General features: G+C 39.1%; 1 long non-coding RNA gene across 14 annotated transcripts in view, besides 1 other annotated feature; it reads left to right on the top strand.

Annotated features, from left to right (window-relative positions):
• LOC107986777 (uncharacterized) overlaps positions 1–19,698 on the top strand; it is a 303,857-nt gene that overhangs the window by 162,901 nt on the left and 121,258 nt on the right. The window lies entirely within an intron of this gene.
• Positions 2,914–4,113: an enhancer, noted in NCBI's record as "BRD4-independent group 4 enhancer chr7:24317744-24318943 (GRCh37/hg19 assembly coordinates)". NCBI's record gives its function as "activates an origin of replication core promoter dependent on BRD2, P300/CBP, MED14 and CDK7 cofactors, and independent of BRD4, by STARR-seq in HCT116 cells {active_cell/tissue: HCT116}" and the evidence as "EXISTENCE:reporter gene assay evidence [ECO:0000049][PMID:35650434]".

The following is a 19,698-nucleotide window of genomic DNA, read 5'->3' as shown; positions in this document are numbered from 1 at the left end:
CAGCTTTGTTAAGATAACATTGAGATACTGTTGAGCTTGTTGAGATTCAAAAGGAGGTGAATCAGTGGAGACTAGAGAAGGTAATGACCGAGAGAAGTCAAATAACCGGTAAAGGTCCATGTGGTTTGCAATTAGGAGGTCTTACTGATAGCAGGTTCATAGCTTGATTCAGATAGAACCTGGACCACATGAAACCCAGTGGTTTCATGACTAAACCTAAGGTAAAGAAGCAGAAGGAATGAATAGATACTGCTGAATATATACAAAGCTACAAATGTGTAAAATATTCAATTGGATATATTCTTACACATATGCATGTGTGTTATATGCTCAGGAAGCCATCACTGAAACCAAGAAAATGAAGATTATACATCACTTCCCCAAATTTCCACATGTACCTTTGTAATTCCTTCCTTTTGCCTCTTCCTCACCCCCTCCTCCATTGATCTGCTATCACTAGAGATTTGTTTGCGTTTTCTAGAATTGCACATAAATATAGTTCCACGGTAGGTACTCTTTGTCTGACTTCTTTCACTTAGCATCATTATTTTTGAATCCACTCACATTGTTAAATGTAGCAATAGTTTATTCTTTTTTATTGCTGGGCAGTATTTCATTATATGATATACTTCAAAATTTTTAATCAATTCTACTGCTCATGAATTTTTGGTTATTTTCACTTGAAACTTTTACGAATAAAGCTGCCTTGACATTCATATGCAAGTCTTTGTATGGACATAAAGCCTTTAATTCTCTTGGAAAATACTTAAAACCAGAATGGCTGAGTCAGACGGTGAGTGTATATTGGCCCACAGTTTGTTGGTGATCTGTTTTTGCTTCTGTTTTGCTCATTTTTTCCTTCATATTTTATTTTGGATAGTCTCTATTGCTATGTCTGTGAGTTCACTAATGTTTTCTTCTGTAATATCTGATTACTGCCAATCCTATCCAGTGTATTTTGCACCTTATACCTGGTAGCTTTCATCTCTAGAGTTTCAACTTGAATCTTTTTTTTAAGTTACAGGACAATATAAAGCAATGAATCTTTTTTATATCTTCCGTATCTAAACGTGTCCACTCTTCTCTCTAGCTTCTTGAATATACATTAATAATAACTTTTGTACTACTAACATCTGTGTGATTTTTGTATACTTTGGGTTGATTGATTTTTCTCCACATTATGGCTTATATTTTTCTTCTTCTTTGTGTGCCTGATAATTTTTGATAGGATGTCAGATATTGTGGATTTTACCTTGTTATTTGTTTTTTTGTCTTTCTATGACTGTTCTTGAGCTTGTTCTGAGACAATTAAAAATTTAAAGACAGTTTTATCCATTCAGGTCTTGGATGTGAGTTTTGTTAGGTGGGACCAGAGCTGGTTTTAGACTAGGTTTACTCTTTCCACACTTTGAGGCAAAATTCCTTCTTTTTACTTTAACTGGTAACTGACTTCCCCCCAACACGCACACCTCAAATTGCACAGCTCTCCCCTCTGGCTGTTCAGATAGACACTATTCCCAGCCCTTGGTCAGCATCAGACACAGTTTACCCTTATCTTTTTGTGTAGTTCTTTTCCTGGTCTCAGGTGGTTTGTTCTTGTGTATAATCTGATCAATAATCAACTAAATCCTCAAGGGGGACACCCTTCAGACTTTCAGAGTATTCTTTCTTTTACCTGATAATCTTCCTGTGGACACTAGCTGCCCTGGCTCCCTACACTTCCAGCCCCAGCTCCTTGGCCAGGATGATTCAATTCCTTCCTTCTGCACTGTAGCCTGGATGACTCCTTCAGGCAGTGTATTCTCATGCTGCTATGAAGAAATATCCAAGACTGGGTAATTTATAAAGGAAAGAGGTTTAATTGACTCACAGTTCTGTATGGCTGGAGAGCCCTCAGGAAACTTACAATTATGGTGGAAGGGGAAGCAAACACGTCCTTCTTCATATTGCAGCTGGAGAGAGAAGTGGCGAGCAAAGGGGAAAAAACCTTTTATAAAACCATCAGATCTTGTGAGAATTCACTCACTATCATGAGAACAGCAGCATGTAGGTAACTGCCCCCATGATTCAATTATCTCACACCAGGTCCCTCCCACAACACGTGGGGATTAAGGAAACTACAATTCAAGATGGGATTTGGGTGAGGACACAGCCAAACCATATCAGGCAGTGATCTGGGACCATTGTATGGCTCTTGTCATTTGTTTTCTATCTCTAAGATATTACTGTCCTTTACTGATGTCCAATGTTTTAAGTGTTGTTTCATCTATTTTTGTCTAGTGTTTTAGTTGTTTCAGCAGGGAGGGTAAATCCAGTTCCTGTTTCTTCATCTTGGCCAGAAGAGCAAGTCTTGTAGCAAGGCTTCTTTAAAAAGATGTTTCTATTCATTGTCTCTGGTTATTCACCATAGGTGTAGTCATGAAACCACTGTGATCTAGGTTCTATCTGAATCAAGTTATAAACCTGCTATCAGTAAGACCTTCTAATTGCAAACCACATGGATCTTTATCAGATATTTGACATCTCTTAACCATTACTTTCTCTTGTCTCTCTGATTCACCTCCTTTTTCTCTGAATGTACCACCATCTCCTTTGCTGACTCACCCTTCTGTACCCATAGTCTTAGCCTTAACCTTTCTACTGCACACATAAGCTCATCTACTCCTACAGCTTATGATCCTGAAATCTCTCCCTTCAGCTCAGATTTCATACCTGGAAACCAGGGCGATACGTCTAGCTCAGAAAAACTCCATCAAGGGCCTCAAATTTAGATTATCAAAGTGGAGCTTCCACTAACATGAATGTCTAATTAAATATCATATGAAGTGTAAAATGTTTTCAAAATTCTTCCATTGAACTATAAGGCCCCACATATTTTGGACCCTACATACCTCCTAGGCTCATCTAACATAATTTTTTTCTTCACTCCCTGTATTTCTGTCCATTGTCCTCCTTTCTGCTCCTTAAATATGCCAATCAGCTTTCCTATTTGGGCCTTCATTGTGCTGTGTCTGCTCTCTGAGATATTCTCTCTCCCTACTCTTTACCTGGCCAACACCTACACAACCTTCTGGGTTTACCTTGAAATATTTTCTGAGTGTTCTTTAGGTCCGTTCCAAGAGGCCAAATAGGAACAGCTCTGGTCTGCACCTCCCAGCTGATCGACGCAGAAGATGGGTGATTTCTGCATTTCCAACTGAGGTACCTGGTTCATCTCACTGGGACTGGGCGGACAAAGAGTGCAGCCCACGGAGGGCAAGTCAAAGCAGGGGTGGGCATCGCCTCACCCAGGAAGTGCAAGGAGTCAGGGGATTTCCCTTTCCTAGCCAAGGGAAGCCATGACTGACTGTACCGGGAAAATTGGGACACTGCCACCTAAATACTGTGCTGTTCCCACGGTTTTAGCAAACAGCACACCAGGAAATTATATCCCACACATGGCTCAGCAGGTCCCATGCCCACAGAGCTTTGCTCACTGCTAGCACAGCAGTCTGATATCGAACTACAAGGTGGCAAGCCTGGCTGGGGGAGGGGCATCTGCCATTGCTGAGGCTTGAGTAGGTAAACAAAGCTGCCAGGAAGTTCGAACTGAGCGGAGCCCACCACAGCCCAATGAAGCCCGCCTGCCTCTGTAGACTCCACCTCTGGGGGCAGGGCATAGCTGAACAAAAGGCAGCAGAAAGTTCTGCAGACTTAAACGTACCTGTCTGATAGCTCAGGAGAGAGCAGTGGTTCTCCCAGCATGGTTTTTGAGCTCTGAGAATGGACAGACTGCCTCCTCAAGGGGGTCCCTGACCCCTGTGTAGCCTAACTTGGAGATACCTCCCAGTAGGGACCAACTGACAACTCATACAGCCGGGTGCCCCTCTGAGACGAAGCTTCCAGAGGAAGGATCAGGCAGCAATATTTGCTGTTCTGCAGCCTCCACTGGTGATACCCAGGCAAACAGGGTCTGGAGTGGACTGCCAGCAAACTCCAACAGACCTGCAGCTGAGAGACCTGACTGTTAGAAGGAAAACTAACAAACAGAAAGGAATAACATCAACATCAACAAAAAGGACATCCACACCAAAACCCCATCTGTAGGTCACCACCATCACAGACCAAAGGTAGATAAAACCACAAAGATCAGGAGAAACTGGAGCAGAAAAGCTAAAAATTCTAAAAACCAGTGCGCCCCTTCTCCTCCAAAGGATTGCAGCTCTTCACCAGCAATGGAACAAAGCTGGACAGAGAATGACTTTGACAAGTTGACAGAAGTAGCCTTCAGAAAGTCAGTAATAACAAACTTCTCTGAGCTAAAGGAGGATGTTCGAACCCATTGCAAGGGAGCTAAAAACCTTGAAAACAGATTAGATGAATGGCTAACTAAAATAAACAGTGTAGGGAAGCCCTTAAATGACCTGAGGAAGCTGAAAACCATGGCAAGAGAACTACGTGATGCATGCACAAGCTTCAGTAGCTGATTTGATCAAGTGGAAGAAAGGGTATCAGTGATTGAAGATCAAATTAATGAAATGAAGCAAGAAGAGAAGTTTAGAGAAAACAGAATAAAAAGAAATGAACAAAGCCTCTAAGAAATATGGGACTATGTCAAAAGACCAAATCTACATTTGATTGGTGTACCTGAAAGTGATGGGGAGGATGGAACCAAGCTGGAAAACACTCTTCAGGATATTATCCAGGAGAACTTCCCCAACCTAGCAAGGCAGGCCAACATTCAAATTCAGGAAATACAGAGAACACCACAAAGATACTCCTCGAGAAGAGCAATCCCAACACACATAATTGTCAGATTCACCAAGGTTGAAATGAAGGAAAAAATGTTAAGGGCAGCCAGAGAGAAAGATTGGGTTACCCACAAAGGGAAGTCCATCAGACTAACAGCAGATCTCTCGGCAGAAACTCTACAAGCCAGAAGAGAGTGGGGGCCAATATTCAACATTCTTAAAGAAAAGAATTTTCAACCCAGAATTTCATATCCAGCCAAACTAAGCTTCATAAGTGAAGGAGAAATAAAATCCTTTACAGACAAGCAAATGCCAAGAGATTTTGTCACCAGCAGGCCTGCCTTACAAGAGCTCCTGAAGGAAGCACTAAACATGGAAAGGAAAAACTGGTACCAGCCACTGCAAAGACATGACAGATTGTAAAGACCACTGATGCTAGGAAGAAACTGCATCAACTAACAGGCAAAATAACCAGCTGAAATCATAATGACAGGATCGAATTCACACATAACAATATTAACCTTAAATGTAAATGGGCTAAATGCCCCAATTAAATACACAGACTGCTAAATTGGAAAAAGAGTCAAGACCCATCAGTGTGCTGTATTCAGGAGACCCATCCCACATGCAGAGACACATATAGGCTCAAAATAAAGGGATGGAGGAAGACCTACCAAGAAAATGGAAAGCAGAAAAAAGCAGGGGTTGCAATCCTAGTCTCTGATAAAACAGACTTTAAACCAACAAAGATCAAAAGATGCAAAGAAGGGCATTACATAATGGTAAAGGGATCAATTCAACAAGAAGAGCTAACTATCCTAAATATATATGCACCCAATACATAAGAACCCAGATTCATAAAGCAAGTCCTTAGAGACCTACAAAGAGAGTTAAACTCCCACACAATAATAATGGGAGACTTTAACACCCCACTGTCAATATTAGATCAATGAGACAGAAGGTTAACAAGGATATCCAGGACTTGAACTCAGCTCTGCACTAGGCAGACCTAATAGACATCTACAGAACTCTCCACCCCAAATCAACAGAATATACATTATTCTCAGCACCACATCACACTTATTCCAAAATTGACCACATAGTTGGAAGTAAAGCACTCCTCAGCAAATGTAAAAGAACAGAAATTACAACAAACTGTCTCTCAGACCACAGTGCAATCAAATTTGAACTCAGGATTAAGAAACTCACTCAAAAGCACACAACTACATGGAAACTAAACAACCTGCTCCTGAATGACTACTGGGTAAATAATGAAATGAAGGCAGAAATAAAGATGTTCTTTGAAACCAATGAGAACAAAGACAAAATGTACCAGAATCTCTGGGACACATTTAAAGCAGTGTGTAGAGGGAAATTCATAGCACTAAATGCCCACAAGAGAAAGCAGGAAAGATCTAAAATCGACATCCTAACATCACAATTAAAAGAACTAGAGAAGCAAGAGCAAACAAATTCAAATGCTAGCAGAAGGCAAGAAATAACTAAGATCAGAGCAGAACTGAAGGAGATAAAGATACAAGAAACTCTTCAAAAAATCAGTGAATCCAGCAGTTGGTTTTTTGAAAAGATCAGCAAAATTGATAGACCATTAGCAAGATTAATAAAGAAGAAAAAAGAGAAGAATCAAATAGACACAATAAAAGTTGATAAAGGGGATATCACCACTGATCCCACAGAAATACAAACTACCATCAGAGAATACTATAAACACCTCTACGCAAATGAAGTAGAAAATCTAGAAGAAATGGATAAATTCCTGGACACATACACCCTCCCAAGGCTACACCAGGAAGAAGTCAAATCCCTAAATAGACCAATAACAAGTTCTGAAATGGAGGTAGTAATTAATAGCTTACCAACCGAAAAAAAAAGCCCAGGACCAGATGGATTCACAGTCAAATTCTACCAGAGGTACAAAGAGGAGCTGGTACCATTCCTTCTGAAACTATTCCAATGAATAGAAAAAGAGGGACTCCTCCCTAACTCATTTTATGAGGCCAGCATCATCCTGATACCAAAGCCTGACAGAGACACAACAACAACAAAAAAGAGAATTTTAGACCAATATCCCTGATGAACATCAATGAGAAAATCCTCAATAGAATACTGGCAAACCGAATCCAGCAGCACATCAAAAAGCTTATCCACTATGATCAAGCGTGCTTCATCCCTGGGATGCAAGGCTCGTTCAACATACGCAAATCAATACACATTATCCATCACATAAACAGAACCAATGACAAAAACCACATGATTATCTCAATAGATGCAGAAAAGGCCTTTGACAAAATTCAACAGGACTTCATGCTAAAAACTCTCAATAAACTAGGTATTGATGGAACGTATCTCAAAATAGTAAGAGCTACTTATGACAAACCCACAGCCAGTATCATACTGAATGGGTAAAAACTGGAAGCATTCCCTTTGAAAACTGGCACAAGACAGGGATGCCCTCTCTCACCACTTCTATTCAACATAGTGTTGGAAGTTCTGGCCAGGGCAATCAGGCAAGAGAAAGAAATAAAGGGTATTCAATTAGGAAAAGAGGAAGTCAAATTGTCCCTGTTTGCAGATGACATGATTGTATATTTAGAAAACCCATTGTCTCAGCCCAAAATCTCCTTAAGCTGATAAGCAACTTCAGCAAAGTCTTGGGATACAAAATCAATGTGCAAAAATCACAAGCATTCTTATACACCAATAACAGACAAACAGAGAGCCAAATCATGAGTGAACTCCCATTCATAATTGCTACAAAGAGAATAAAATACCTAGGAATCCACTTACAAGAGATGGGAAGGACCTCTTCAAGGAGAACTACAAACCACTGCTCAACTAAATAAAAGAGGACACAACCAAATGGAAGAACATTCCATGCTCATGGGTAGGAATAATCAATATTGTGAAAATGGCCATACTGCCCAAGATAATTTATAGATTCAATGCCAACCCCACCAAACTACCAATGACTTTCTTCACAGAATTGGGAAAAACCACTTTAAAGTTCATATGGAACCAAAAAAGAGCCCACATTGCCAAGACAATCCTAAGCAAAAAGAACAAAGCTGGAGGCATCACACTACCTGACTTCAAACTATACAAGGCTACAGTAACCAAAACAGCATGGTACTGGTACCAAAACAGAGAGATAGACCAATGGAACAGAACAGAGGCCTCAGGAATAACACCACACATCTACAACCATCTGATCTTTGACAAACCTGACAAAAACAAGAAATGGGGAAAGGATTCTGTATTTAAATAAATGGTGCTGGGACAACTGGCTAGCCATATGTAGAAAGCTGAAACTGGATCCCTTCCTTACACCTTATACAAAAATTAATTCAAGATGGATTAAAGACTTAAATGTTAGACCAAAAACCGGAAAAACCCTAGAAGAATAACTAGGCAATACCATTCAGGACATAGGCATGGGCAAAGACTCCATGACTAAAACACCAAAAGCAATGGCAACAAAAGCCAAAATTGACAAATGGGTTGTAATTAAACTAAAGAGCTTCTGCACAGCAAAAGAAACTACCATCAGAGTGAATAGGCAACCTACAGAATGGGAGAAAATTTTTGCAATCTACTCATCTGACAAAGGGCTAATATCCAGAATCTACAAAGAACTTAACAAATTTACAAGAAAAAAATCAAACAACCCCATCAAAAAGTGGGCAAAGGATATAAACAGACACTTTTCAAAAGAAGACATTTATGCAGCCAAAAGACACATGAAAAAATGCTCATCATCACTGGTCATCAGAGAAATGCAAATCAAAACCACAATGAGATAGCATCTCACACCAATTAGAATGGCAATCATTAAAAAGTCAGGAAACAACAGGTGCTGGAGAGGATGTGGAGAAATAGAAACGTTTTTACACTGTTGGTGGGACTGTAAACTAGTTCAACCATTGTGGAAGACAGTGTGGTGATTCCTCAAGGATCTAGAACCAGAAATACCATTTGACCCAGCGATCCCATTACTGGGTATACACCCAAAGGATTATAAATCATGCTACTATAAAGACACATGCACACATATGTTTATTGCGGCACTCTTCACAATAGCAGAATTGGAACCAACCCAAATGTCCATCAATGATAGACTGGATAAAGAAAATTTGGCACATATACACCATGGAATACTATACAGCCATAAAAATGATGAGTTCATGTCCTTTGTAGGGACTTGGATGAAGCTGGAAACCATCATTCTGAGCAAACTTTCGCAAGGACAGAAAACCAAACACTGCATGTTCTCACTCATAGGTGGGAATTGAACAATGAGAACACTTGGATATGGGGTGGAGAATACTACACACCGGGGCCTGTCGTGGGATGGGGGGTTGGGGAAGGGATAGCATTAGGAGAAATACCTAGTGTAAATGATGAGTTAATGGGTGCAGCAAACCAACATGGCACATGTATATATATGTAACAAACCTGCACGTTGTACACATGTACCCTAGAACTTAAAGTATAATATAAAAAAAAAAAAGAAAAAAGAAATATCACTTCTCTATGGAGGATTTTCTTGGTCTTCCAGCCTGGATTAGTTCCCTATTATATGCTCTAACAGGACCTAAATTTCTCATTAGTTACATATACCTACAGTTCAATCTTACATGTATTCTTTAGTTATTGTATTAGTATTTGTTTAATATCTATAAATTTTGTTATGTTAACTTAATAGAAGGGACGATGCATCTCTATTATGATTCCCAGCACTCAATAGATACTATAGTTTGGTTTCTTTGACCCCTCCAATGTTATGTTGAAATTTGATCCCCAATGTTGGAGGTGAGTCCTAATGGGAAGTGTTTGGGTCATAGGGGTAGCACCCTTATGAATGGCTTTATGTTGTCCTTGTAGTAATGGATGAGTTCTTGCTTTATTAGTTCCTGTGAGAGCTGGTTGTTTAAAAGAGCCTACTACCTCCCTCCTCTCTCTCTTGCTTGCTCTCTCGGCACACGATTTCTGCACACACCAGCTCCCCTTCACCTTCTGCCATGAGTAGAAGCAGCCTGAGGCTCTCATCAGAAGCAGGTGCTAGTGCCATGCTTCTTGCACAGCCTGCAGAACCATAAGCCAAATAAACCTCTTTTCTTTATAAATTACCCTGTATTCTTTTATAGCAACACAAATGAATTAAGACAATAGATTTCCAATAAATATGTATTGATCAAAATAAATATCTTTATGCAACTGAAGTTTATAACTGAGTTTTAGAAGGGCCTGATAGAACAGGGATTGGCAAACTGTAACCTATGGGCCACCTCCCTACCACCTGTTTTTGTAAATAACGTTTTGTGAGAATGCAGCCACACCTATTCATTTACATATTGCTTATGGCTGCTTTCTTGCTGCAATGACAAAGTTGAGAAGTTACAACAGACACTGTATGGCTCACAACGTCTAAAGTATTTACTTTCTGGCTCTTTATAGAAAGTATGCAGAACGTTGATTTAGAATTTAAATATTTTACATAAACTATAGGTAAGTAAACATGATAGACAATTTGAGGGTCCTGAGCGTGCCAAACTACTTCCTGCCCGGGGCTCTTCCTCATTCTATTTTCTCCTGAGCATGCCAAACTACTTCCTGCCCGGGGCTCTTCATCATTCTATTTTCTCTTTCAGCGAACTCCCACTTATCCTTCACATTTACTCTATATGTCATTTCTCCATGATCCCTCAATCTAGATTAGGTTCCTCTCCAACTCACCTCATTGTATGATCCCACGATATCTTATAATTTACCTTTAAAGATCCTTTAAAGAACTTTATCTTTAAAGATAGCTCTAACTGTCTATTTAGGTATATAGTCAAAGTGTTATTTTTAGTTTGATGTGTCTAACATTTCATAATTGTAAGCTCCCTGAGAGCAGGGATACGTGTTTCGTTTTGCTCACCATTAAAATCCCCATACTTAGAATAACATACTTGTATACTTGGAAGATACTTGGCTCTTAGTAGGTGCTCAATAAAAATGAGTTAAATGATCATGAGACTTGGCGTGTGATTATATATATAACTTGTAGCTGAAGTTTGTTAGGGTTTTAGGGGTCCAACAAATAACAACTACCCACCACTCCTGCCGCCACCATGGCACCATGGAAACTGATCAATAGTCAGAAGTCAGACATAGAGATCAATATACGAGGTTTGTCACTAGTAAACTATAGATTGCAAGACGTACCTTTAGCTCTGCTTGCTTTTTAAGAAACAAACTCTAGTTTTTCAACATTTATTTTACTTCTAGCAAGCCACATAAGGCAATTTTGCATGCTTTGTTTCCTTTCTAGAGTTATTTTTAATTTTAATGGTGTCCTTTAACATATGCATGTATTCAAACACTGCTTATTGCTTATCTCACATATCAACATTTTCTTTCAGGTGTTTGTCTCAAAAGAATTTAAAAGAGTAGCCACTCTGTAAAGTTAGAAAGGAGTAATAACATTAATATGCTTCTCTTCTTTAATACCTTTTCTTCCCCCCATGGATCACACGGATGGTGAATAACAAGAAATCAAACAGCATCCTCTTGAGATGGGAACTTTCTTAGTGGAACTGAAATTATGAAAATAGGACAGAGAAATGGCACAATTAGTTTAGATGTTAGAGAAGCAAGGGATGATAAGGACACAACATTTATATTTTCTAGTAACCTAGAAGACCACGTTATCCATTATATAAAAATTAAACTAAATTTAAGAATGATAAAGGATGATAATCTAATAGTTTAATTTTAAGAAATAATCTGAGGATTATTTTCTCTTAGAGAATTTATGCTATGTACATTTATATTATGTAGTTTAAAAAATTATTTTAAAATTTGTTAATGCATACACATAATTTCTTTTGATTAATTTTTTGAATTATCATTTGAATTTTTTTTTTTTTTTTTGAGACAGAGTCTAGCTCTTTCGCCCAGGCTGGAGTGCAGTGGCACCGTGGCGCCATCTCGGTTCACTGCAAGCTCCGCCTCCTGGGTTCACACCATTCTCCTGCCTCAGTTTCCCGAGTAGCTGGGACTACAGGCGCCTGCCACCATGCCCGGCTAATTTTTTGTATTTTTAGTAGAGATGGGGTTTCACCATGTTAGCCAGGATGGTCTCGATCTACTGACCTCGTGATCCGCCCGCCTCAGCCTCCCAAAGTGCTGGGATTACAGGCGTGAGCCACCGCACCCGGCCGTAATTTTTTTTTAAAGATGCAACTTGAAAGTCTTGCTCCTATCCCTGTCAACATTTATCTCATTTTCCTACCTCCCACTGGGGTAATCATTTTTATTAACTTTTTGCATATGTTTCCCAACTTTCTTTATGCAAATAAAAGCAAAAATTAATATATGTTCTTATATTTCTCCTTTTCTTATAAACAAATGCAACATGCTATACACACTGCTTGGCATCTTGATTTTATTATTTAATATTCTCTCTTGGACATCTTTCCATTTTAGAACTAAAAGCCATCTTCAATCTTTGTTAAAAACAATTTTCGACAGAAAAAATTTCATTGTATAGATGTATTGTAATTTTTTTACCAGTCCTCTATAATGTGCACTTTGTTTCCAGTCTTTTGTTATTAAAACGTAACGAAACTAATAACTTTATAAATTTGTCATTTTTTATATGTATATTTGTAGGAAAGTTTCTCAAACGTGGGATTGTGAGGCTGGACACCATGGCTCACACCTGTAATCCCAGGCACTTTGAGAGGCTGAGGCAGGCAGATCACTTGAGCTCAGGAGTTCAAGACCAATCTGAGCTAGCGAACATGGCAAAACCCTGCCTCTACTAAAAATACAAAAAAGCTAGCTGGGTGTGGTGGCACGAGCCTGTAGGCTTAGCTAGTTGGGGGGCTGAAGTGGGAGGATCGCTTCAGTCTGAGAGGTTGAGCTTGCAGTGAGCCGTCTTCACTCCTTTTCACTCCAGCCCAGGTGAGTGGGAAAGAAAAAAAACAAAGTGGGATTGTGGGTTCAACAGACATTTGTAAATCTTATACATAGTTGCCAAATTGCTGTACATAGGGGATTTAAAAAGTCCCACTCTCACTAACAATCTAAAAGATGTCATTTTCCCACAGCCTGAACCACATATAGTCACATTTTGGATTCTTATAATGTGACAATTAAAAAAGGGGGAAGGGGAAGAGGTATTTTGAATTATCTTAAATTACATTTCTTTTATTATAAATGAGATTAAGCATCTTTTCATGTATTTACAAGCCATTTTTTACCTTTCCTTAAAAATTTTCTATTATATATAATATTAGATATTATATAAGAATATCTAAAATATTCTTTGACCTTTTTTCTGGGTTGTTGATCTTTTTAAAATCAATTTTATTCATTCTTTTAATAAATATTTTGAGAGCTTACTGTGGCCAGGAACTGTTCCAAGCATTTGGGATATATTTAAAAACAAAATACATACAAGGCTTACAGTTTAAACAGAAAATGAATAAGAGACACAATTTTACAAGTAAATGACTTGGTTTGTGAGACAGTGATGAGTGCTATGCAGAAAGTCACAAAGACTTGAAGAAGGTGAAGGAGTGAGCCACGCAAATCACGGGGGCAGAGCATCCGAGACCACAGAAAACCTGACATGATGACTCTAAGGAGGGCATGAGCAGAGTGGTAGCAGGGAAGGGGTGAAAAATGGTTGGATTCCAGATATATGTTAAAAATAGAGCAAATAATCTGTGAGAAAGAAGGAAGACAGCCAAGGATGACTGCAGATTTTTTGGCCAGAGTAACTGAAAGTATGGGGTTGCCCCCAACAGTAACAGGGAGTAGGTTTGGGGTTGGCATTGGGAGCTCAGTTGAAGATATGTCAAGATTTGGATGTCTATTAGACCCTGAGATGTCAGTTGTATCTCCAAATCTGGAGTTAAGGAGTGAGATCAGGCCTTGATAAATAAATTCAGGAGTTGTTTGCCTTTTGATGACATTTAAAGATATGACAATAGATAAGATGACCAAGGAATTGAGTGGAGAAAGAGGCAAGAAGGTGTCCACATCAAGTCTTGCAGTGAGCTGACATTGAGAGGCCAGAAGGTGAGAAAGGAAGAGCAAAGTAGCCTGAGAATGAGGGACCAGAGAGGTAGAGGAAAACCAAAAGAGTTTGAGATTTGGTATTCTAGATGTCATGTGCAAATGTTTTTTCAAGAAAGAGGAAATGGACTTCTGCATCAACTGCTGAAAAGTAAAGTCAAATTGACCACTGGCTAAAATTGACCACCGGCTTGAGCAATGTGGGAGTCTTGACAAAAAGCAGTTTCAGTAGAAGTGGCAGAAGGAAAGACACTAGATAGGATTTAAGAGAGAAAAAGAAGATATTGGAGACAATTCAGGGAGTTTCACTGCAAAGGAAAGTAGTAAAAGGGGCAGTAACTGGTGAGGGAAATGACATCAAGAGAAATGTCTTTTAAGATGGGGAAAAAGGGAGCATATTGGTCTGCTGGATGGAATGATCAGGAAGAAAGAAAAAGTGGCACTGAAGGTGAGAGCTTCTAGAAGATTTTATATATTTGAGAGTTTCTTCTTTTGTGAAATGAGTTGCAAAAACTAATTTGTGGTTTGTCACTCATCTTTTGACTTTAATGTGTTGTTTTTGCCTTACAGAAGTTTTAAATTTAAAGTTGAATGTATCAATCTTTTCTTGTGTGCTTCTGAATTTTAGCTCTTAGTTTATTTAAAAGGCCTTCCACACTCTACAGCAGAGGTCTGTGAAATAGGGCTAAGGACCAAATCTAGTCTCTCACCTGTTTTTGCAAATAAAGTTTTATTGGAACACAGCCACACTCATTTGTTATGGTTGCTTTTGCACCACAACGGCATAACTGAGTAGTTGTGACTTTAAAATGGTGGTAAATACACACTACATAAAGTTTTCAGTATAACAGTGAATGATGAGAAAATACTATATTTTGGGTGGAACTATGTATAACCACTAAATAGAATAGTAGACAACATTTCTTATTTAATACTATATATTCTAGAGCAGTTTATGTTGTGGGGAAAGATGTTTGGAGAGGGTGGTAGCTTACAAATCTAAAGTATTTACAACATTTGACACTTTATGAAAAAGATTTGCCAATCCTTGCTCTATGGTAAAAAGTAAATTTGTTCATGTTTTTTTTTTTCTTGTGCTTTTATTTTATGATTAATTTATTTTTTCTTTCCTTTTTGTTTTGCTTTTTCTTTTTTTACATAAAAACGTAGCTTTTGTCCTGATATAGTGAATAAATTAAAGTTTCAAGGTTTTTTTCTCTATATTGACAATTAGTTTTCTCAATGCTGTTTACTGAGAAGTCTATAATTCCCCCGCCCCCTCACCCACGACCGCCAGCTTTGGGATGCCGCCTTTAGCATATACAGTAATAAATTCCTATGTGTGTTGATTTCTGGATTTTCTGTTTTATTCCGTTGGTCTTTCTGCCTATACAGGTATAAGAACCACACTGCTTTAGTAATGTGGGTTAATACGTAGTTAAGGCTTGTTCCACATTTGCCATCATTGGTCTCTTTCTTTCTTTCTTTTTTCAGTGTTTTTGATTTTCTAGTAATTTTTCATTAGGCTGAATATACTTTTAATATTTCATCACCTTCCTTTATGTTACTTTTTTGGTTTATTTTAGTAGTCTTGTGTTTCCTTTGTTTTCTATCCTTTAAGATCTGTGATCTTTTTTTTATTTCTTATTTTGGCAATTGGAAAGTATATAATCTGTTTTATTTCCGCTAGTGTTTCTCTTAACAAATTTGAGTAATTTGAACCGAACAATGGTTGTTATTTTGTCTGCCCACCTAGTCGCTTCTCCTGCCTTCTTTTTTTTTTTTTTTTTTTTTGTGATGGAGTCTCGCTGTGTCACCCAGGCTGGAGTGCTTGGCTTGGCCCACTGCAACCTCAGCCTCCTGAGTAGCTGGGATTACAGGCACCCACCACCAAGCCAAGCTAATTTTTGTATTTTTAGTAGAGATGGGGTTTCGCCATGTTGGCCAGGCTGGTCTCGAACTCCTGACCTCAAGTGATTCACTCACCTCAGCCTCCCAAAGTGCTGGGATTAGAGGCGTGGGCCACTGCTCCCAGCCCCTGCCTTCTTCTTTGTTAATAGGTCCCTGATATCTGTATTTCCAGCCAAGGGGCTGAATTATGGTAACTCTCTCACCTTTGCTAATGATTGGTTAACGGTTGAATTTCTGACCTGTTTCTGGCCAATGAAATATTAGGTTAAGTCAGCTGGGGGACTCTAAAAAAGGGTTTTCTTTCTGTCAAGGAAGAGGCATGTCCTTTGCCATAATTCCCTCTCTTTCTGCTTTGGAGATGATACTTTGGAGGTGATGCTGAGAGCTGTGGTAGCCATCCTACAGTCATGAGAGCAATATTGAAAGTACACTGTGGCTGGCAGAATGCAAAGACCAAAAGGGCCTAGGTGCCTGACAAAATCAGTGAGATGCCAAGCCAGTCTTGGGACTTACAGCCTTTAGATGTCTCATTAAGTAATAAATGACCATATGGTTTAAGCCACTGGTAGCTGGGTTTTCTGCTACTTGGAGCCAAAAGCATTCCTAATTAACAAGCTACTTCTCATTCTTGACTTTTTTCCTCTATTACTTTTGTTATTTTTTTATTTTCAAGTTATTTATTTTTTAATAAAAGAAATCTCTACTTGGGCCTTACTTTTACCTTTCTATTTATAGTAGATTTTCCTTTGTTTTCTTACCATGCTATCTGGGCTCTCGTTGACTCCTTATCTCAAAGATAAGGGCTAACTTAGGCCTTCTGTATTCAAGAGTTGTGTTACATTTGCTTTTCTGTTGTCTGAGATGGTGGCAAGGATGGGACTGAGTGAAGTCTGGGAGAAAGTGTGGAACCAGGGCTATGGGTATCACAGTTGGGGGATTTCGACACTGCTTTTTCTATAAGTTAGTTAAAAATCCTGTACTGAGGTTTACTCTGCAGAGTTGGAGCTATTTCTGATTCTGTGATAAAAGCCCGTGGCTTTCAGGTTGTTCATCAGGTCCTGGGTGAACTCAGAGCCTTTTCTTCTCTCAAAGACAAGCTGCCTTCAGTGATTCTTTTCCCCTCTCCTCTCCCTGCTTGCTTCTCCTGCTTCTTTCTGGGATTTAGGTAGGAAGGTTATGAAAAAAAAATGGATGAATAAAGAGTTCGTCCCTATTGTCCCTTTTCTGCTTGCATATTGTGTTTTATTTTCCCAGCTAGTGAAACAAACCAATCCCAATTCTTAGTAGTTCTTCCTATCTCTGATAAATGAATATCTACTTTTCTCTCTTGGTATAGAGAGGCAATCACTTAAAGGGATTCTGAATCTTTTCTTTTGAGCTTCTTCTCCAACTACCATTTCTCAATTAGCCTGCTTCCTTCCAAATTAAAGGGTATCAGTGAGCTTTTTCAGTCATTGTTTCTTCAGATTTTTGTCCACTGTACTGCTTCCGGAGGAGTCCAGCATAAGCTACGGTCAATTTCCAGAATCTGCTGTCTGTAGATATTTTTAAACCCTTATAGTATGGTGGTACTTCTTCCTTAATTTGAAAGCTCCTAACATCTTTCCCCCTTTGGCTATTCTTACTTATTTTATGCATTTTGTTAGATTTGGAAGCAGGGAAATTTCTTGATCCTGCATTTTCTTTCACAGAGAATCTGTGAAATTGAAAGAGTTTATTGATAACACTGCTTCTATTGCTATGTATTTTTAGCAGTATCTAGAAGTACATGTACAAGAGAACTGTGGCAATTACAAAGATTATTTGGACCAAAATTACCTCAAAATCTACCTGAAACATCCATATAATTGCAGGAAAAAATATATTTTTTAGATTTGAATATATTCTGATAATAGCTGCAATTCTCTCCTCCACTTTGCATGTGCAGGCACAAACTGAAGATTCTGAAATAGCACCCATAGTGCTGAGATGAGACTGGCTTTGTGTTATTCTGACCAGTTACAGTTTGTCTTCTATTATTATTAGCACGTGTCCCATACTTCTAGTTTTACCAACCCATACAATAGAAGAATCCTTATTTTACTGAGAATAAAACATTAAAGGTGACTGTGGGAATGACAAGTTCATTTTGCCACATTGAAGGCAGACTTTCTAGGAAGATATTGACTTCCTGTTGTGTAGATGACACAAATGCTGCAGAAAGCAACCTGCACCTCAGGTGACAGCACTGATGAGCCTGTAGGCTTATTGAAGAGTCTTGTCTTCTCTTCTGGTAAGTTGGATTTGAAGAAGTTTCAGGCTTGATATGAGGATGTATCATTTCAATTTTAAAGACTGGTGTGGAGAGTGTGGACTGGATGTCCTTCAAGACCCACTGAAAGGCACTTCTAGACTCCTAGGACTCCAGACACCACCACTTTCCCAACCTCATTTGCTGATAGAATTCAGATATGATTTAGATCAGATCCAGTTGCTTGGGACTTTGATTCAAAATTGAATTATAACACTAATGAAATGTCCCATTTTCTCCATTTATACCATTAAGCATTTTAAAAAAGTTTTTAACAACTCTGAGTTACGAAGGGCATAAGTTATATAAGGAGAGAAACAGGCTGTGGGCATCCTCTTCCTAGCCCAAACTGAGGCAGAGGCAGTGTGGCCTGGAGCAGGTGGCCCTGGTGGAAGGTTCCAGATTCTGCAACTTCCTGACTGAGGCAGGAGCGGCAGTGTTCTTGGCAGCCTGGTTCTGCAGTGAGGTTTCCGGAGTTGTTTCTGGAAGCTCAACCTAGAGCCTGCGTCTTTGCCACCCACCCCTACAGACTCTACCCTTTAATAAGTCTCTTTCTGCTTCAAGTAACTAGAATAGATTCCGAGGCCTGAAACTAAGATCTCCGAGCAACAGCAGGACCATGGGAGAAACACTGTTAGATTGGTTCTCTTGAGTCTCAGAGATGGAAAACACAGGCCTCTATAAGGCATTACGCCTCATCCAACTGCTTTCAGGGGCCCACTTTAACTGCTGGAGCGAGGAAAATGGTCCTATGGAGATCTAGGGCATGATTCTCAGAGATGTGTGCTGTTGGAAGGACAGCTGGCATCTGGAAGCATGAAGGAGCATGCAGAGTCCAAGAACTCCCACTAAATCTTCCTTCTCCAAGGCTGCTCACTTCACAGCAAGAGTGTCATGACAGTTAGGATGGCTTGGCGGCAAGTAATGGAAAACTGTCTCCCCAAATAAGAAGCCCAAAGATAGGGCATCTCTGTTATAAGTTAATTCAGCTGTTCAATTATGTCATCAAGGCAGAGGTTCTCTCCACCGTTCTGCTCTGTCATCAAGACATGATGGCTTTGACTTGGAGATTAGCTCCCTGAGGGGTTGTTAAATGTTTGTCCCCAGCTTTGGTTTCATTCAGATACACCAACATCCATTTGAAGAAAGGTTTGCATTTTTTATTGATATATAATAGTTTTACATACTTAGGGGGTATGTGTGATATTCTGATACCTGTATATGATGAACAGTGGTAAAATCTGAGTACTTCAGATATCCATCACCTCAAATATGTATCTTTTCCCTGTGTTGGAAACATTACAAAGCTTCTCCTCTAGCCATTTTGATGTATACAATAAATTATTAACTATAGTTTCCCTCCCTACTATTGAATACTAGAACTAACTCCTTCTAACTGTATTTTTGTACCAAAATGTGCATTTTTCTGTGTGATTTTTCTTTCTTTTTTTTTTTTTTAACAAATGCTAGAACTTTGTGTGGATGCTCTTAGCTCCCACTTCCTCCTGCCTTCCTGGTTTTGAGCTTCTGCCTAACCCGTTCTCTAGCAATGGGAATGGGAGCTCAGGAGTTGAATTCAATCAGTCAGAATTTACCCTGGATTGCAAGATGGATTTGCTTTTCCCTGAGAGTAAACCCAAATAAAAAAATTTGCTGTGACAGCAAAGAAGAATGGGA

The sequence above is a fragment of the Homo sapiens genome, chromosome 7 (genome assembly GCF_000001405.40).
Source record: "Homo sapiens chromosome 7, GRCh38.p14 Primary Assembly".
Taxonomy (NCBI): domain Eukaryota; kingdom Metazoa; phylum Chordata; class Mammalia; order Primates; family Hominidae; genus Homo; species Homo sapiens.
This window is presented reverse-complemented; position numbering and strand designations above follow the sequence as displayed.